Source organism: Homo sapiens, chromosome 7 (genome assembly GCF_000001405.40).
Source record: "Homo sapiens chromosome 7, GRCh38.p14 Primary Assembly".
NCBI classification, from domain to species: Eukaryota; Metazoa; Chordata; class Mammalia; order Primates; family Hominidae; genus Homo; species Homo sapiens.
In genome coordinates, this window is record NC_000007.14 from 98,988,739 (window position 1) to 99,009,557 (window position 20,819).

Consider the following 20,819-nt stretch of genomic DNA (forward strand, 5'->3'; position numbering starts at 1 on the left):
CGTTTTGGTTTTCTGTCTCCTCACAGGTCCGAGGAGGCAAACAAAGCCTTCTCTGCAGCTGTGCAGATGCACGATGTGCTGGTGAAAGCCTGGGCCATGTGGGGCGACTACCTGGAGAACATCTTTGTGAAGGAGCGGCAGCTGCACCTGGGCGTGTCTGCCATCACCTGCTACCTGCACGCCTGCCGGCATCAGAACGAGAGCAAATCGAGGAAATACTTAGCCAAGGTGAGACCGAAAAAACGAGCTTTGACCAGAGGCCATCTGTCACCTTCAGATTTGGACAGAAATTTAGCTATAGTTTACTCATCCGTGCCGGGTGTGAGGCATGATTTCATGCCTTAACTCTTAATCCTCATCACTGTTCGAAGTATCTTTCACAGTTCCATTTCAAAGCTGAGAAAACTGAGGCCTGGACACTCTTAGGGCCCCAGAACTTCCAAGTGGCAAAGCCTCACGTAGAGCCCAAGTCTAGCACTGCCTGTGGGAGCTCACACGAAACAGAGGGCTGAGGAGGGGATGTGGAGCTAGAACTTCCCTCCTAGACGCCCGTTAGGTTGTCATCCCTCCCCTGCAGGGCTGTTGTCAGCACAGCCACAGAGCTGGCGTGCTGGGGTGGTTGTGGGTTTCTCTCTGCACCGTGCCCCCCAGCAGCCCTGAGCTCAGGGTGGGTGTCACCCACGTGCTCACTGAAGGATGTGCACTTGACACTCAGGTTCCCCCTTCATGTGGCTTCCTGTCTTCCCCCAAGAAGCAGACAAATAAAACCCAGAATTAATTCCAGCAGGAAACCCAAGAATAAATTGTTCCCTTTCCTATTTTGTCCATTAAAGGTTTGGATTTTTTAGAATTCCTTGATTTAACATAAAAATTTGGAATGTACACCAGCACATGGCAGTTAAAGCCGACTACAGAGACAGCTACACGCACTGCTTCAGTGCCTGGCTCCGGGTTGCTTACACCCAGATGTAATTGTTTCAGTCGTCCATGGACACCTGGCTGCCAGCCTGTGGCCTACCTGTTGCCGGGGTGATGAGCATCTGAGAGTTTTAGCAAAAGTTCATTTTGTTTGGATGAGATCATGAGTGTAGGTTAACGGGTGGGCAGGCCCCAGGCATCTTCCTGTTGCTGTCTTGCAGTCGGTCACTGGTCAGTGCTAGTCAGTGGATTAGATCAGCGAGTAATTGTCATTAAAACTAAATCAAAAGGCCGGGAGTGGTGGCTCACGCTTGTAAACCCAGCACTTTGGGAGGCCAAGGTGGGTGGATCACTTGATGTCAGGAGTTCAAGACCAGCCTGGCCGACATGGCAAAACCCCATCTCTACTAAAAATACAAAAATTAGCCAGGCGTGGTGGTGTGTGCCTGTAGTCCCAGCTACTGGGGAGGCTGAGGCAGGAGAATTGCTTGAACCCGGGAGGTGGAGGTTGCAGTGAGCCAAGATCGCACCACGGCACTCCAGTCCTGGGTGACAAAGCAAGACTGTCTCAAAAACAAAACACAAAAAAACTAAAGAGAAAATCTATTTTTAAATTTTAGGTTTTATATACTGTAAGATTTACATTAAGTTTAGCAATAATGTTGGCCTGCTTATAGATACTTTTTTTACATGGCCAGTAAAGCCGCTCTATACAGTGTTGTAATGTTGGGGAAAAAGTCTCTTGCTTGAGGGCTTCAGAATTGTCATTCTACTCTAGAATTTCTCCTTCTGTCTCAGGTGCTGTGGCTTTTGAGTTTTGATGATGACAAAAACACTTTGGCAGATGCCGTCGACAAGTACTGCATTGGTGTGCCACCCATCCAGTGGCTGGCCTGGATCCCACAGCTGCTCACCTGCCTGGTTGGCTCGGAGGGAAAGCTGCTCTTGAACCTCATTAGCCAGGTGGGAAGAGCAGGGTGGCCTTGTTCACGTGCACAAAACATTGTGTCTTCATTTTGCGTTCTTTTTTCTCCCAGAAAGTAAATTTGAGTGTTCAAAGTATTAAAAACAAGTTAAAGAGATGGGAAGATATAATCATGTAGATATTATTTAATATAAAGCATAATTAAAAGTTATTAAAGAATATATCAGAGTTGAAATGAAATAGCTAATAAAGCAGTTCAGTGTTAAAATTCTAATTTCTTAAACATTTTCCCATATATAATGTAAGTAAAATAAACTTGTAGTAAAACATACAATTGCCAGTGGGTACCCTGAGAATGACAGTGAGCCCTGAATCTGATTGGTAGTTTTCCTCTGATTTTTTGTCATATGCTGGGAGCTCTTCGGAGCTGCCCTTAAACTAAAACATGCCCAATTGTGGCTGTCGCCCTTTCGACAGTTGAGCTGCATCATAAGGAACCCATGGTTCTCAAGGGCAGTGGGGCCAGGCCGGGGAAGCGGACAGCCCAGGGCCCTATGGAAAGGCTCTCATAACCATCTCTTGAGAATGATTCCAGGATGTCCCTCTCCCGTGAAAAGACCCAGGCATAGAGGAAGGACCAGAAACGGCGGAAGCGTGGCTACAGTGAGGTTTGGGACACAGCGCCTTTGTGGTTGCTTTTGTAAAATCACGAAGCACCGCAGGAGTCCGTGAAGGTGTTCAGGAAGGAGCTGGGCCCGCGCGTTCTGCCCACCCATTCCTCTGGCTCCTTCCTGCACGCAGCACCTGTGCTATGTGGGCCCTGAGCGATGCCCTGGTTTTCCTTGAGGAGGCAGCTGTGTTTTTGAGTCCCAGCATTCTGTGTAGCACTTATCCTCAGGATGCAGGTCCGACCTACTTGGTCTCATCACTTCTGGAGCATCTCAGGTTCAAGAGCAGCCGCCTCTGCCTGTGACGGCTTAGATGTTATTCCTTTCTTCCTTTCATGGGCACATTCTGAAAGATTCAAGTGACATGGTACTGTCCTGTCAGCCACAGAACTCCAGTTCAATCAAATGGGAGTTTCTTAACTGAAACGGACATCCCTCCATCTCCTCCCAGCTGCAGTTAGGCAGAATAAAGTTATTTGATAATGGAATTAGTTCACAATCCACAGTGAATTGTGCCTGACAGATTAGCTGGTATTTGTTTGTTTTTTTATTTGCTTCAGTGAGATCTGGGGACACATGTATTTTGCCTTCCTCAGATTTACTGCCTGGAAGGAAAGCGTGGTTTCCCTGTCACTCACAGTTCCTGGGTGGAGTTGATGAAATGCATGTGTTGATGTGTCTTGGCTCTTTTAAAGTGAATTAAATATTTTGCCTGCTGTTGAACCTGGCCTTGTGCGTCAGATCAGTGCTGCAGTATTTGCTTCCTTGGTCCAAAGGCAGATCAGACACCTGTTTCTGACTTGACATTGGTTATTTTCAGTACAAATTATCTTTATCCAGAGCTCAGCAGAGAGCAGCACTGTTTATAACATCTTGTCTCTGAGCAGGTTGGACGCGTGTATCCCCAAGCGGTCTACTTTCCCATCCGGACCCTGTACCTGACCCTGAAAATAGAACAGCGGGAACGCTACAAGAGCGGTACGTCTCGGGTGGGGCCGGTAGGCCAGGCCGGGAAGGGCTCATTCCAGGGGGTGCCCCACATCCAGACAGACCACCGCAGCCACCCCTGCCCTGCAGCTCACTCATAGCCGTGGCCAATCTCTCCTCAGTGGGCAGCACCGTAGGGCAGGAAGCAAAGTCTGATCTGAGTACAGTCTCTCTTTTGCCAGGATGTAATAAGCGTTCATTTATCCGAGTGATTTGATCTATAGGTAGAGAAAATATGTGAAATTTTCAGCTTCAGAAAACTGTAAAGTTTACCTTTCTCCTTAGTAGTAAGTGCATCCCAATACACAGCAGATGCCAGCTGCCGTGTGTGTGTGTGTGTGTGTGTGTGTGTTTAAGTTATGAGGAGTATCTTCAGCTGTGAGAAGAATCAGCATTGAAGTCAGTCTTACCAGATGTTGGTGAAATTTCACTCACAGTGTAAGACTTTTAATCTATATTGAATAGCCCTTGTATGCAAAGCAACAACTGATTTGATGGCTTCAGTTACCCACTAGGCAGGGTGCTTTAAATAATGAGACGACCGTTTACTGCCCCTTGTTTTCAATGCTGAGTCTCCTAAGGGCCGTGGGCCGTGTGTGGTTGGTGAGAGGCGGTGGATGAGGGCTGCATGGCACATTTCAGCTCTAACCTCTGGGGAGTCAGTCTGCCTAGGTGGCTTCATGTCTTGGTCATTTGAAAATTAAGGTTTTTTAGTTTTAAGACTAAGTGTAGAGAGGTAAATTCAGAAAAAAATGGTCATTAAAGGCTCTGCAATGTATCTCACAGGGAAAAATGACCGTATTTTTCAAAAGCAGTATTTTGCAATTGGCTTGGCTTTCCAAACCAGTTTCCTATTAACTGCTTTTAGATTCTCTGAGTTTATAGTAGCAAGGAACGTGTAACAGATTGTGAGATATTTTTCCAAACATTTATGTTTAGGATGATCAGACGTAACAGAAACGTTAAAAGGAGTTCTCAGGGAACTCTTGTGCGCCCTCACCTGGACTCACCAGGCGGCGTGTTGTCACATCTGCATCCTCCTAAAACACATACACGGGTTTATTTAATGGAATGGATTGAAGCCGCATTGTAGACAACTGCGCTGTCCCTCCCCGCGTCCCTCAGCGCACCTGCGCCTAGAACCAGGGCCTTCTCCCACGCAGTCCTTGGGGAAGCGGTCTTGTAGGGATTCACACGCCGGCAGGAACCAGCGCTCCTTTGGCCCATGGGTCCTGCAGCGCTCCGAGCCCTGGCGTCTGTCGGTTTTGCGCTGACACTGGCGTTGTGTGTGTTGCTCTCAGATTCTGGACAGCAGCAGCCAAGTTCAGTGGGTAACCAGTCCCATTCTGCATCAGATCCAGGGCCCATAAGAGCAACAGCACCCATGTGGCGCTGCAGCCGAATCATGCACATGCAGCGAGAGCTCCACCCCACCCTTCTGTCTTCCCTGGAAGGCATCGTCGATCAGATGGTCTGGTTCAGAGAAAATTGGCATGAAGAGGTATTTGGCTCTGATCTTGCACATGGTGGCTCCTTGTAGAGGGGACGTGGTGTTCTGTATGCTTCTGTGGCTCTCTTCCCTTGAGCTTTAGTTGCCGGTCCTTTTATATATTTGTTGTTGAACTTAACCATGGACCAGGCAAATAGCTATCTCTGCACACTAGTACAGCCTTAAAGATTCAAAGTACAAGACATGAAAGAGGGTGGAATTGAGGAAGCCACTTCTTGCTGTTAAAATGCTGGCCGTGCTCATGTCCCTGAGCTCAGTGACCTGAGTGCCACTGTTAACCAGGTGTGAGCAGGAGCAGTGGCATGAGTAACAGGGTTATAATTTCCATAGATGGGAAATTGTAGGGATGTGGGGTCTTTTCAGCAGTCAGACCACTTCCTTAATAACGTTGGCTTAAGCTGATGACAGAATAGTCCACGCCTCACTGCCCAGATGCTTACCTGGTTGAGCCCCGGGGCCAGCTCCTTACTGCTGTGAAGTCTCGTGTGTGCACAGTGCACGCAGACACGCGGTGGGAACAGTACAGCTGCCTGAAAATGCAGGGGTTTTGTGGCTAATCGCAGACGGGTGTATGATCCAAAAAAGTGGGGCTTTTCTGTTTTCGCTTTTTGAATGTTCAGGTCCCTTACTCCCCAAGGTCAAAAGCGCCTGCTCCCATGTGGCATGCACAGGCGTCCCGTTTCTTGCACACGCCGATTTCATGCCTGCTGTGTGTGGGTCCTGCCGGGGAGTGCAGAGATGACCCTGGGCTGGGAGGGCCGCACTCAATAGGCGCTTTTGGCTGCTGGTTCTGGAGTGGAGGGCTGTGTTTGTCAGTTGTCTCTGGCTCTTTTCTACCAGGTTCTCAGGCAGCTCCAACAGGGCCTGGCGAAATGTTACTCCGTGGCGTTTGAGAAAAGTGGAGCGGTGTCCGATGCTAAAATCACCCCCCACACTCTCAATTTTGTGAAGAAGTTGGTGAGCACGTTTGGGGTGGGCCTGGAGAATGTGTCCAACGTCTCGACCATGTTCTCCAGCGCAGCCTCTGAGTCTCTGGCCCGGCGGGCGCAGGCCACTGCACAAGACCCTGTCTTTCAGAAGCTGAAAGGCCAGTTCACGACGGGTGAGTCTCCATTTTCCTTCCCTTCCATAGGGAGAATTGTGCACGCTGATTTCCTCCGGCTTTAGTGTTGAAGCTGATTGGATCCTTGGTTTTCTGATCACTGCACGGGGCACACTGGTTACACTCTGTTTACAGTGCAGACTTCAGAGTGCATAGCTGAGACCACATGTTTTTCTCCCAGGGAGGGGTCAAGGTTTGGAGCAGGAGCTGCCAGGATCCAAGACGGGGTAGAAAATGCATGGTTTCAGGCCACACTGCCCTCCTGCCCTCCTGCCTTCCTGAGACCCTTCCTTCACTTGTTTTTGGTGGGAAACAGGGTAGGGTGGGGTGGTGGGAGACATTGTTAGTGTGAACCAGTAGGAGACAGAGTCCTGGTGAGCCGGTGGGAGATGGGGCCGGGTGAGCCGGTAGGAGATGGCACCAGGTGGGATGGTGGGAGATGGTGTTAGTGAGCCAGTAGGAGACAGCGTCTGGCGGGCCAGTGGGAGACAGGGTCCGGTGGGCCCATGGAAGACTGGGTCTGGGTGCGCCGGTGGGAGATGGCGCCGGGTGAGCCAGTAGGATTTATAGGGGCAGGGCCTGCAGCGACGAGCTAAGTGCAAGCTCACTGTGGATTCTGGGCATCGTAATAGGGAGATGTATTTTCAATGCTTGTCTGTAGTTCAGATTAATGCGTTTTCCTAGGCTCACAGCTTAACTCCTGGCTCTGCCTCTTATGTTGTGATGTGAGGAAAGGAGTCCAATTTCCTTCAGCCCAGGTTTCTTCCTCTGTCAAACAGGGATCCTCACCCCACAGTATCCCCCCCCCACCATCTACACACCCCTGTTCCATCCTTGCACCCCCATCCCATCATACACACACATGTCCCATCTACGCACCCACGTCCCGTCCATGCACCCCATCCACTCACCTGTATCCTATCACCTGCATCCCATCACTCCCATGTCCCATCTACACACCCGCGTCCCATCTACTTACTCTTGTCCCATCATAGACACCTACATCCCATTTACACACGCATGTCCCATCATACACACCCCTGTCCCATCTACACACCCGCGTCCCATCCTCGCATCCCCATCCCGTCCTCACACTCCCGTCCCATCCTCGCATCCCCATCCCATCCTCATACCCCCATCCCATCCATGCACCCCCGTCCCATCTACTCACCCCTGTCCCATTCACACTCCCCCGTCTAGTCCACACACCCCATCCACTTACCTGCGTCCCCTCATCCTCATGTCCCATCTACACACCAACGTCCCATCTACTTACCCTCATCCCATCATACACACCTACATCCCATTTACACACGCGTGTCCCCGCGTATGCACTGTGTCCCATCTACACACCCACATCACATCTGCGCATCCACATCCCATTGTGCACACCCACATCCACCGCGGTGCGCACAGGCACAGCTGCTTCTCGTGCTGTCTGGAACACGTTGCTTCTTACTCCTCATTCAGCCTCCATCCCACTTACCTGCGGGCTCCCTAGTAGAGAAGCGCGTGGCGGGCTCTCTTGCCAGGTTCTCACTGAGAGCTCCTGGTCCCAGGATGTGGCTTCAGCTGCCTGAGTAACTTCCCCAAGCCTTCATCTCTCAAGTGTCAGCACATGAGTGATTGCAGCACATGAGTGATTGCTGTGTGAAAACGAGATTTGTCTGGTACAGTTTCCCAGAGATGAAAGAAAGATTAAATCATTCACATTTAAAAGCTTAATTACTGCATTTTTAAAATTGTAGAACAAATCATTTTAATTTTCATTTCTTATCTTCAACTTATTCTTTAAATTAACTTCAATTTTTATACAAAATGTCCTGAATGGAAGTGCATGAAACTATCTGGTTAAAACAAAATATGGGCCTTCAAACCTAAGCTCAGTCACTAGCCCAGGTAAAAAGAAGAGATGCTATTCTGTGACCTTTTTCCTCTTAATAATATGTTATATGCCGAACAGTTTAAAAATGTGATTAGTTGCCTTGGTGACAGAATAAATAGCAGCAACTCTGTTCTAATTATAAGATGATTTTAAATTTTATTTTTAAGATTAAGTATCCTCTTTGACAATCCAGAAACATAGTCTTTGCTGACTCTGTGGACACACACCTAAAACAGTTAAAAAGGATTCCTCAATTTTCAATGACAAAGTACAAAAAAAGAGTATGTTCTTGGTGGGCACGGTGGCTCACGTCTGTAATCCCAGCACTTTCAGAGGCCGAGGTGGGCGGGTCACTTGAGGTCAGGAGTTCGAGACCAGCCTGACCAACATGGTGAAACCCCATCTCTACTAAAAATACAAAAATTAGCCTGTCGTGGTGGCGTGCGCCTGTAATCCCAGCTACTCAGGAGGCTTAGGTGGGAGGATCGCTGGAACTTGGGAGACGGAGGTTGCAGTGAGCCAAAATCACGCCACTGCACTCCAGCCTGGGCAACAGTGAGACTCTGTCTCAAAAAAGAATATGTTCTCAAGCTGCAGTTCAGTTTTTCTGTCCCCTTTTCCAAAAAATCTTACTTTACTACCAAGCCACTCACCTAACTATAAGGAAAGACAGTTTTTCAAAAAGGCAACAAAATCCAGAAAAAGGAGTAGGTATCAGTCCAAAATTATCACCCAAAACACTGCTGTTGCAAAAAAAAAAAAAAAAAAAAAAAAAAAAATTAGAGTAGGAAGCCGAATTCCCATAGCTTGTTAGAGAAGATCTTTTAAAAGAATTCAGAAAGTTAAGAGTGGAACTACAGTGGTATAGACAGGCTCAAAATGCAGATAATTCAGGAACATTCAGCTTGGAAATATATTAGGCTTTCTCCTAGTCCAGCAGAGGAAATAAAATCATGTGTTGCTGGAATTAATATTAAAATTGTCCCCACACGCAGAAGGTAAAGAAAGAGAATGTGGAACAAACGTAGCAAAGACAAGTCACCTTAAGTCTAGGCTCTACTGCCCAGGAAAATTGAATCGAACTTAAATTCTTCCTGAGTCATTATCACTAAATTCTAGATTTGGCCTGAAACCAGTGGACCACATACACCACTAATAAATACCAAGTGATCCACAGTGTTTGTGGTATTACATTTTTTTAATTATTATAAGTTTATATTCTGAAAAGCAGTAGATCAAAATGATGCTGCACCATCCAGTCGGTTACAGACTAAACGGCTCCCTCCAAAGAGGACTGACTTGGCAGAAACCTAGGCTGGAAGGAATGTGAGTAACATGAAGTACATCAGGCTCTCAGTATAATTTCCGTAAGGCTTTTCTACCCACCCCAGTTGTAGGGAGTAGTACTGAGGGAGCTCCAACACAGTGTCTTACAGGGGTGCTTCCCAGAGACAGAAGGGCTCTAAGTTTAACTCTTGACCCCTCTTCTCCTTACCTAAAGCTTGGGGAAGAAAATAAATATTTAATTTTTAACTTTTCAGAGCTTTGAGCACATTATAATATTTAATATTCTGTAGCTTCATTTTCTGAACCTTTGGCTTAGAATTTTTTTCTCAACTTACATTAAAAAAAAGTATGAATGCTCCTTCACCAGATGAAAATATAAGCCATGTTCTTCCATCTCTTCTACACAGGAAGAGTGAATGAATAGTACTGTAAATATCCTGTGAGGTTACTTTGTGTACTTGACGAAAGATTAGGGAAAACCAATCCACTTCCATAGCTCGAGCAGTAGTTAACTAGTCTTCAATCTCATCTTCCCCAATGTCTCCATTCATATCCAAGCATGAAACAGCCGGTTACAACACGGTGAAGTAGGGTTGGCGAAATGTTTGTAAGGGGTTGCTAGAGAGAGAACCCATGCCGACCCAATAGAAATAGAGCCTGCAGCCAGTACATGGCATCCACCTCACTTCTCTATGTGAATTCCACAGCATGGGCATCTCTTCGAGTTCTCTTCTAGCCACTCCTTTCTTTCCATCTCTTCCAGTGCCCTCTGACTCACCCTCTTACCTTACCTCTGTTACAGAAATCTTGTCTTGGCCTCATCTGCTTGCAGGTATTCGTTTTGTAAGTCTGTTAATTTCTCTGCCATCACCTTACATGGAGAGGCCCCATGGTAGGTCAGTCTGCACAAGGTACAGAAGGCAAAGTTACAGCTGGAGCAGATGCCCGTGGTACAGCCAGGCCCTGCAGGCCCCCACAGGCGGGGGCAGCACACCACATCTGCCACCAGCTCCAAGGTGGATGGGAGGAGAAGGCAGCCATGACGGGCAGAGAACTCTGCTTCCGCTGGCTCTTTGACCTGGCCAGGAGTGGCCACCGAAGGGCACTTTGGTTCTGAGCAGTTGAGGCATTGAACCTGGCCATCTCTGATCTGGATTTCAAAGCAGTCCTTCAGATAGGCTTTGCAGTACACAGGCTTCACTCCAAGAAGTACATGCATTCACTGCCCAGCTTCTCGCAGAAACAGATGTCGTACAGGAACAGTCTACTATTAAAGCATTTTATCTGCTAAGCTTGATCAAAGTCCAAGATTTCCTGGATCAGACTTGACAGTGATTCCACATCCTGCACAGCTCTCTCATCCACAATTTCCTCTTGATCTACATGAGATCCAGCAGCTCCTCCAAAATCTAGCTCTGATGGGAGGGGCTTGAGCTATCCTTCTCGGCACTTTTTCCTGAGAACTTATCGTGAGCTCAGAGGGAGAGACAATATTGGGGTGCACCAGGGTCTCTTGCTTAAGAAACTGCATCCAGGCAGACAGGATCCCACTGCCACTGTGTTCTTCCCATAGGTTGTCTAAGTGCTTGCATAGAGCAGAGAGCTGAGTTGGTGACAGCAATTTGCCACTAAGTGTGAATGAAGGTGGGAAGGAGGATGGATAATCTGGTGGCAGTTCAGAGTTCAGCACAAGTGGAGGGAGAAAGCAAATGGTATATTCAAAGCTACTATTCTGGGGGCACTCATCTGAATTGCCGCTCACAAATAACTTGAAGTTCTGTGGCAAATCCCGATCGATGCTGATTTCTCCACCTCAGACAGGCTTTGCTTTTCCGAATTCATCTCCATCTTAAATACTCGCCAGGGCCAGCAGCTCACCTCCTGAGCTTCTCAGTCTTCTGACAACATTTAATTTTATGAGGAATTGTTAATAACAATCAGAAAAAAAGGATGTCAGCACCGCAATCTGTATTTCAGTTTGTTTATTTATTTATTTATTTATTTTAAGGTGGAGTTTTGCTCTGTTGCCCAGGCTGGAGTGCAGTGGCGTGATCTCAGCTCACCGCCACCTCTGCCTCCCAGGTTCAAGTGATTCTCCCGCCTCAGCCTCCCGAGTAGCTGGGATTACAGGTGCACGTGCCACCACACCTGGCTAATTTTTGATTTTTAGTACAGGTGGGGTTTCACTACGTTGGCCAGGCTGGTTTTGAACTCCTGACCTCAAATGATCCACCCACTTCGACCTCCCAAAGTGCTGGGATTACAGGTGTGAGTCACTGCCCGGCCATGTATTTCAGTTTAGAGTGGAGTTCGTGCAGATCCCATTTATTCTCCAGGTGGTGGAGATGAGACTGCCAAAGCCGGGTAACAGGCCAAGATGTAGAACTCATACTACATATACTATGGAAATCCTGCCATGTGGGGCAAGCCGGAAACTGCTACCCCAGTGAGGGAAGCCCCTCCTCCACAGTGTTTCCCTCCAGCCTGCGAAACTCTTTTTCATTCTTCCAGGCCACACTCTGCGCACTCCAGCCTTGGGGCCAGCCCTGGTCTGGGTTCAGCATGCCACTGCCGCCGTCTCCAGCACTCGCCAGCCGGCGTCACTTGGGCAACTGACCAACAAGTGGGGCAGGCCGCAGCCTAGCTCTCTGCCCCAGCGCTGGGATCAGAGGGCGCTGTGTGGGCCTGTGAGCAATGGGCCAGCCTGGGGTGTCCTGAAGGAGCAGGGCCCACACCTTTCCCTTCCTCATCAGCACCCTGAAGGGTCGTGGCCAGGCTGGGCTGGGGGCACCCTGTCTCGAGTTTGGGGGATCGAAGCCCACTGAGCAGTTCTGGCCCGGCCCCCTTCTCTGCCTTGCACACCCAGAGTGTGGTCCCTACCATACCTTCCAGCTGCCCTGCAGTGCCCAACTTAGCGCTTTTGTAATGATCTTTGCCACGTTCTTTCTTCACTGATGGGTTAAATCGTAGACTAAGTGGTTCACATGTGTGGTATTCAAAGAATCTCCTAAAGACTCATTGTGTCCTAGATGACACAGTTAATATTAAGTCACATAAAAGAAAATCTTCATCTCCTTAATCGGAAAGGACACTCAACAGCCATAGCTGTGACCAGGGTTGCATCGAGGTTGCATCCAGCTGAAGTGTGGCGTGTGCCCTGCAGTTGCTCCAGGCAGTCTGGGGGCGCAGCTCCCTGTTCGTGATGTGTGGGTTGGGCTTGCCTTAGGTGAACCCACAGCTGAGGGAGGTGCTCTTTGAAAAGTGAAGGGCAAGCCCGGTCCTCCCCGTCTATACGTGAAGCGCTTTCATCTCCTCAGGCTTATTGTGAAGTGTGTGTGATGTGTGGTCTTTCACCCTTCTGAGAACGGAAGAGTCCGAGATGAAAGTTTTATGGAAATCATATTTTACTTGAAAGAAATGGTGGTATTCAGCATGCTTTTATCTTAAAATGTCCACATTATTAAATCAAAAAAGTAGAGAATCAGAAATGGGATAGATCTTCTGGCTTTTGATGTAAAAAAAAATAAAAAATCACAAAACCAAAACTGGAAAAAGTCAGCATGAGGCTCCTGACTCATCTCAAAGTGCAGTGGGTCTCAGACACGCACAGCCAGAGCTCATCCACCTTCCGCTCTCCTGTACACAGGGGAGGCTGTTTCTGTCTCTTTGTCTGTGTTCCGTTCGTGGAATGCAGTCCGATTCTCTAGCAGAGCTGCATGTGTGGGCTGCCAACCACATGTCTGTAAAGAGGTGGAAGAAAGCTCAGAAATGGCGCACTCCATTTATCCCACAGAAATGAAGACTTCCATTCATGTGGGAACTGGTACACAAATATTCAGAGCCTTTGTTACTTTATTTATAATAGCTCAAAACTGGAAACCATGCAGATGCCCTTTCAGAAGGTATTGAATACATTAGAAACACCTCAGCAATGAGGAGTTAATTATTGATACACAGTAACGTGGGTGAACCTCCAGGAAATCATGCTGAGTGCAAAAAGCCAACTTGGATGTGTACTGAGGGATTCTTAATTGTGAAATACCACAGTGGAGACGGAGAAGGGATTCATGCTGGCCAGGTGTTCGGGATGCAGGGGAGAGGCGGGGGGGTGGGGTGGTGGGGGTGGGTGGTAGCTGTGAAGGGCAGCCAAGGGCATCCCGTGCTGATGGTGCAGCTCAGCAACTGATTGTGCTGGTGGCTCTGCGAGGCCACACAGTGACATGACCAGAGGTGTGCGCATGCATACACACATGTGCGCACACACACGTGCACACATAACTGGTGAAGTCTGAATCAGCTCTTCAGCTCTTTGGACTGTGCCAATGTCACTTTTTGGTGTTGGCATCGCACTGGGTTGCATAGGATGCTGGTGTGGGAGGAAGAGGGTTAGGAGTACATGGGACTTTCTGTATATTTTGTTTGCATCCTGTTGTGAATCTCTAGGAATTTCAGAATAAAAGTTAAAAAGAGATCAGGCATGAGCTTGGCAGCACGTTCTTGGTCCAGCGTGGAGAGGGAACAATGAGGTGGCCTGCGTCCTTGGTGGTGGCCTCTGTCTCTCGCGGCTCTGCTGGGGGATCTCACCTTGGTGCACAGCAGCCTGTCCAGCCACCTGCCTGTGTGGAGTCCTGGCACTGTGAGGAATGCAGAGGAGGGAGGTGCCACAGAGCTTAAAATGAAAGGGAAACCAGACAAGTGCTATGAAAAAAAAACACACACACACAAAATACATTGGCTTTCATGAAACCAATGACATTTGTGGACAGCCAAGTTCAGACATGGTCAGGAATAGGCCACTCGTATAGCTGGGTGTTATCACGCGTGGGCAGGGATGGTCAGGCCACTTGAATAGCTGGGTGTTATGCCCAGCGCCTCATGTGCGCTGCCTCGTTTAATTTCATCCTTTCGGGGCAGGTGTTAAATTATTCCCGTTCCTATACCACGGGTTAGAAAAGTGAGGCCCTAAGAGGTTCAGCGGCGTGCTCCAAGGTCTAAGCTGGCATGTCTCCCGCCACGACTCAGCCAGCATTCCATTTGGGCTCAGGACGCCAGCCCTGGGGACGGTGCCTCCTCGTGGCTCCCCCAGGGCCCCTGCTTTGCTGCAGTTTTGGTTGGGTTCGTCCTGACCTCCAGTCGCCCTGGTGAGTTAGGGTGACGAGGCTCCTTCCAGCACTGGCGCTCGTCTGGGAGGAAGTCGAGGCGTTCTACAGAAAGACATTTTAATATGAGTGGCCTGAGAAATATATTAACCAGGGATTTTTGAATTGCTTCAGTGAAAAATGTTTTTGGCTTTTGCCATTTTGGTATCCTGCATTAGTTCCTTCTCATGGCTCATTTAGGATCTATCTCCTGGGTGGTCGTTTCCGTTGCCTTAGGCTCACTTTGATTACAATATCAGCTTTGACACGAGACCTAGGGCTCCGTGTGACACTTGTGCTCAGAGGCGGGGTTGCCGTTGGATGCTGGTCTTCAGGCCCTGGTGACACGGGCTCCTGGTTGTTGGGTTTCACAGGCCGCCCTCAGGCTCCTGTGTCTCCCAGGGCCCCAGCCTCACACACTGAGGTAGACGTTGCCTCAACGGCATTGTTCCCGGAAGGGCCTGTGGGGTTGGGGATGGGGTTTCAGGCTGGTGGTTCCTCTCTTCCTCTTCCTCTCCACGCGGTGGGAGGTCCCTGACGGGGCTTCTCTTGTTCTGTCAGCCTCTTGGGGAGCAAGGGACATAAAATGTTTTGCTCCACACCATGTATAAAACGTGTAATTCGGCTGGGCATAGTGGTTCACGCCTGTAATCCCAGCACTTTGGGAGGCTGAGGTGGGCGGATCATCTGAGGTCGGGAGTTCAAGACCAGCCTGGCCAACATGGTGAAACCCTGTCTCTACTAAAAATACAAAAGAAAAAGAAATTGGCCAAGCCTGGTGGCGGGTGCCTGTAATCCCAGCTACTCGGGAGGCTGAGGCAGGAGAATCACTGAAACCCGGGAGGCGGACGTTGCAGTGAGCGGAGATCGCACCACTGCACTCCAGCCAGGGCAACAAGAGTGAAACTTCATCTCAAAACAAACAAACAAAACATGTAATTCGTAGCTGGTAGGGGCTTGAGCGTTTTTTGCAGTGTGTTAGAACTGGCCCAGATGACTAAAAACGTTTTTAATCATGTTTTATTTTTAAGATTTTGACTTCAGCGTTCCAGGATCCATGAAGCTTCATAATCTTATTTCTAAGTTGAAAAAGTGGATCAAAATCTTGGAGGCCAAGACCAAGCAACTCCCCAAATTCTTCCTCATAGAGGAAAAGTGCCGGTTCTTGAGCAATTTCTCGGCACAGACAGCTGAAGTGGAAATTCCTGGGGAGTTTCTGATGCCAAAGCCAACGCATTATTACATCAAGATTGCACGGTGAGTGGGCCAGCCTGGCAGGTGGAACTAACCCACGGCGCCCATGGACATGGAGCCCCATGGGAGCTCCAGGGTGGACCCTGTGGGGAATTTTGGACACAGATTCCCTGACATGGGAGAACATAAGATGATTCTGGAATGTAAGTGGTCAGGCACTTTACAAGTTCTGCCCGCGCTGACTGGTTAGCTGTCCTGAGTGCAGTCTGGGTTTGCATTCAGCAGACCTTCTTCCGAGTCACCATAGAACTTGACAAAACAGTGTGTGTCCCACTCTTGTAAATCCTCGAAGCACAGTATTGAGGCAGAATCAGATGATTGTAGCATTTCCTAGAGTGTGCTGCATCTCATTTGAAATGCTGAAAGGGCTTTGAAGAGGTTTCTTTTAACAAAAAGTGTGTTTCGTCTTTATTTCTGAACCAGACACAGCTCTGCTTTTCTATATGTCCAGAGTTTAGTTGCCCTTTCCTCCAAATCTGGCTCCTGTCCTGGCCAGCTCTCCCTCCTCCTTGACTTCCGTCCGTGGCTGCTGAATTGAAAATATTGTGACTCATTTACACCGCATCAGGGTGAGGCAGGGTACAAATAAATTGATAAACGACCGCTGGCCTACACAGTCCGTTTTCCCGTGACAGTTCGGACATTCCTAGCTTCTTCTCAAGACAAGGACTGGTAGCAGAGATGCAGGGCATGTCCTCATGGCTTCTCGCTCTGGCAGGTTCATGCCCCGGGTAGAGATTGTGCAGAAGCACAACACCGCAGCCCGGCGGCTGTACATCCGGGGACACAATGGCAAGATCTACCCATACCTCGTCATGAACGACGCCTGCCTCACAGAGTCACGGCGAGAGGAGCGTGTGTTGCAGCTGCTGCGTCTGCTGAACCCCTGTTTGGAGAAGAGAAAGGAGACCACCAAGAGGCACTTGTTTTTCACAGGTAGGGTTGAGAGCCACAGCTCGCTGGGTACACAGGCAGCTTCACAGGTGGGGATGAGAGCCACACCTCGTGGGGTGCACAGGCAGCTCACGTTAGCCTTTGAGGGTCCAGCTGCGTCAGCAGAGAATGTTGTAGTCTGTGCTGACCAGGGAAGGCCTCAGGAAGAGGAGCAGCTCCAGGCCTTCAGGCTTCTCACTGAGAGATGAGAGCTGTGTCCACCTTTCCTCTAAGGCGAGCTTGTCCAACCTGCGGGCTCCATGGGGCCCACGATGCCTTTGAATGTGGTTCGACACAAATTCGTCAACTTTCTTAGGACATTATGAGATTTCTTTTTCTTTTTTTTTTTCTTTTTTAGCTCATCACCTGTCGTGTCAGTGTATTTTATGTGTGGCCTGAGACAATTCTTCCAATGTGGCCCAGGGAAGCCAAAAGATTGGACATCCCTGTTCTAAGGTCTTTTGCACTCTACGGAGTGGGCCCCTGGAGAGCTGGGGCGTCTCAGTGGGTGCTGCCGGTTTTGCTTCTCCTCCCGGGAACCCAGGCTGCTGGGAGGAGAAGTGAAACCACCCCGGCCGAGCCTGGGCGCCAGCGAGGCAGCAGCATGCATCAGGTTTCCAGCGCGCCTCTAGCTGCTTCACACGCTGCACTCTGGGCCCTCCCTGAATTTCATTCCTGGGTGAAATGCAGGACTCGGGAAAGTCTAGCTGCCCTGTTAAGGCCACAGAAATTGCCAGGGGGACACAAATAGCTGATAAGCAACCTCTGAATGAAGTCTTTGTCACTGAGTTATCGTGAGTGGCCTGATTGTACCGGCACGTAGATGAGATGCTTATAATGTTATCCAGAGAAGAGAGCCACTTTGATGACTTTTTAGCATGTAATCCCTGAAGTCGGGAGCCCGCTGCAATGTATGTTATCTAGTCCTTTATGGAACTTTCTTTTGCCACCAAAGCTGTGATCAGCCCCTTTTGACCTGAAATCTCTGACCCTTAATTTTTTTATATCTCAAAATAAGATTTTTTTAAAAGCCTAAAGAAAGCTCAAAATGCATCACAGAAAGCTGTGTATGTTTTAACATGTATATAACATGACCTGTAGTGTTGATTCCAGCTGTGGGTTATTGATTTCTCTGCTTCCAAATGCTTGGTCAGCACAGAATGGTGGTCCTAATGTGTGTCCTGGAGTCATTTGGGGATTTCTTTATGGGTAGACGCCAGGACAGCAAGCCATCAGCTGTGGCTTAACTGACATTAGACAGAATCAGCCACTTGGTTCACAGAAGTCAGAATCATCTGTGTGCACTTCACATGCCCCTGACTCCACGTCAGGGGTTACAGTGGCTGGGACACAGCTGCCACTGGGACCCTCACCGGGCAGGCTTAATCTGCCATCTTCTGGAAATCTTTCAGCTCCCTCCAACTTCATTGCAACAAGATATCTGAATATTCCCTGAACCTAGTATCTTCACAAAGTATTATCTCATTTAATCCACAAACAACCCTATGGGGTAGGTACTATTATCCCACTTTTGGAAGAGAAACTGCACACAAGTCTGGTGCTGCTCCCCAAGGTGACGTCACTGGGGAGACAGGCTCTGGAGTGGTCGCCCAGCGCTCCTGCCGCCTCCAGCTGACTCAGACCACAGTGGTTTCGGTGCAGGTTAGCATCCTGTCTGGCAGGTTGTAGATTAACTGCATCTCCAATACCGAATGGTGATTGGGAACAGAGTACTGGTCACCATGTGTGGACAGGGATTTACACATTAATGGGGCTAGACGATCAGGTTGATGCTGGTTGCTTTCCTTATGTGGACAGAACACAGAAGATGACCTGAGGGATGATTTTCCTCCTCCAAAGATGGGGCACAGCCGTCCTAGGTGCTGAAAGACAAGTTTGCATCATTAGACAGCAGCTGTCTCAGAGCAGGAAGGCCGGACTCTTCCCATAGACTCTGATTAAGGAAAGCCTCTAAGAGTGAGCATTTGGCAGAGTCTGTTTTTTTTTATTTTTAGTTTTTTGAGACGGAGTCTCACTCTCTCATTCAGGCTGGAGTGCAGTGGCGCAATCTCAGTTCACTGCCACCTCCACCTCCTGGGTTCAAGCAATTCTTCTGCCTCAGCCTCCCGAGTAGCTGGGACTACAGGTGCGCACCACCACGCCTGGCTAATTTTTGTATTTTTAGTAGAGATGGGGTTTTGCCATGTTGGCCAGGCTGGTCTCAAACTCCTGACCTCATGTGATCCACCCACCTTGGCCTCCCAAAGTGCTGGGATTACAGGCGTGAGCCACCATGGCCAGCCATGTTTATTCTTATTTTTTAGACAGGGTCCTGCTCTGTCACCCAGACTGGAGTGCAGTGGCGCAGTCACAGCTCACTGCAGCCTCCAACTCCTGGGCTCAAGCGATTCTCCCACCTCAGCCTCCCGAGTAGCTGGGACTATAGGCTATCCTTTATTTTTTGTTTTTTTAAGATGTCTTTTTTTTTTTTTTTTCTTTGAGATGGAGTCTCGCTCTGTCGCCAGGCTGGAGTGCTGTGGCGTGATCTCGGCTCAAGGCAACCTCTGACTCCCTGGTTCAGGTGATTCTCCTGCCTCAGCCTCCTGAGTAGTTGGGATTACAGGCACCTGCCACCACTCCCGGCTAATTTTTGTATTTTTAGTAGAGACGAGGTTTCACCATGTTGACCAGGATGGTCTCGATCTCCTGACCTCGTGATCCGCCCACTGTGGCCTCCCAAAGTGCTGTGATTACAGGCGTGAGCCACTGTGTCCGGCCAAGATGTCTTTTTAAGATTGCCTTCTAAAGCATTTCTGTTTGTGGACACAAGGTGACGATCAGTTCGTGCCGTCAGAGCCTCATGCCATCTGTTGAGCAAATGGATGGTGCATGACCACCGGGTTCTTCCAGCTAAGCCCCCAAGGCATACAGAGCCGGGTCAGCTCTGCTCCCAGTGGCACTCTGACGGTGGAGCTGAGCACTGGCCCGCGGTCACCCTCAGCCTGCCCCGTTTCTCTTCCTCTCTCCCCAGTGCCCCGGGTTGTGGCAGTTTCCCCACAGATGCGCCTCGTGGAGGACAACCCCTCTTCACTTTCCCTTGTGGAGATCTACAAGCAGCGCTGCGCCAAGAAGGGCATCGAGCATGACAACCCCATCTCCCGTTACTATGACCGGCTGGCTACGGTGCAGGCGCGGGGAACCCAAGCCAGCCACCAGGTAGCAGTGGGGCCGGGCCGGGGGCCGAGCTGCCGCCTGCAGCCCTCCTGTGTGGGGCAGTGCCTGGAGACAGGGGTGTTTAGGAGATGAACAGGCATTTGTTGGGGGCCACCTCTGTCATTTAAAGTAACTTTATTAGACTCATGAGATGGTGGAAATGAGACAGCTATTGACCTTGGTGAGAGGACACTTGTCGTGGACGGTTTGTTATGACCAGACACGGGTCAGTCCTCGACCTTGGAGAGGCCCCTTGCCCTCTGCCTGTACTTACAAAGAAGCGCCGAAATTAGAATTTTAAAGTAAGTTTCTGGCAGGCTCACTTGACAGCCACACCTGATCTGAGGTGATGGGAGGCTGTTTATAGGCTTCATTCATCCACTTCATGTTCCTGTTCACCTGGTCTGCTGCTGGAGGTGTTAGGCGATGTGCAGCATGTGTGCTGTTTTCTAAAATACAAAAAGCGACAGACTCTGGAGTGCATGGGGCCCAGCTGTTTCGGTTGCCTGAGCCCGGAGCATGGTGCCCGCAGGAGTCTTGGGTGGCCCTGGCCTGCAGCCCCTCGGAGGTACAGAGGCCCCTCATTCACCTGCACGTTTTTGCCCTTGGTAGGAGGCAGGGCAGGTATGGGCTTTAGGTGGGGAGATTTTTGGGGGATTGTGTGGGGCACCCAGGGGCAGCTGTTTTGGCCTCTCCCTGGGTGCCCCGTGGTCCTTTCTATGGGTCCCAAGAAGGAGAGACCACAGAGGTGGATGCTGTGACCTTGTCCCGAGTCACCCAGGGACTTGTTCCAGTTCTCCTGGCTCCTGGAGGACTTAGTTTGGTTGAGGAAGGTTGAGCCCATGGTGTACTCTGTGGCCCAGGGCACGGCAGGGCCCGAGGTATTCCAGGCTGCAGCATCAGGTGCAGCCTCCAGCTCTGTGCAGGCAGAGGCATGGATCCCTGTTTCTGATCAGCCTCTGTTGACAGAGTTCATGGCCTCTCTTGGGAATTGACACC

At 49.5% G+C, this 20,819-nt stretch overlaps 1 protein-coding gene and 1 pseudogene across 3 annotated transcripts in view; one reads left to right on the forward strand and one right to left on the reverse strand.

The window, feature by feature from the left end:
- Positions 1–20,819, forward strand: part of TRRAP (transformation/transcription domain associated protein) — a 134,710-nt gene that overhangs the window by 110,207 nt on the left and 3,684 nt on the right. For 2 of the 3 annotated variants that reach the window (NM_001244580.2, NM_003496.4), the window contains 8 exons: positions 27–228; positions 1,717–1,881; positions 3,399–3,489; positions 4,854–4,999; positions 5,849–6,110; positions 15,452–15,677; positions 16,393–16,610; positions 19,639–19,823. In NM_001244580.2, coding sequence (NP_001231509.1) covers positions 27–228; positions 1,717–1,881; positions 3,399–3,489; positions 4,854–4,999; positions 5,849–6,110; positions 15,452–15,677; positions 16,393–16,610; positions 19,639–19,823 — 1,495 coding nt within the window. Of the gene's footprint in view, positions 1–26; positions 229–1,716; positions 1,882–3,398; positions 3,490–4,799; positions 5,000–5,848; positions 6,111–15,451; positions 15,678–16,392; positions 16,611–19,638; positions 19,824–20,819 lie in introns of all 3 variants that reach the window. The other variant, NM_001375524.1, reaches the window with a different exon arrangement.
- RNF14P3 (RNF14 pseudogene 3) lies at positions 9,603–11,190 on the reverse strand (annotated as a pseudogene).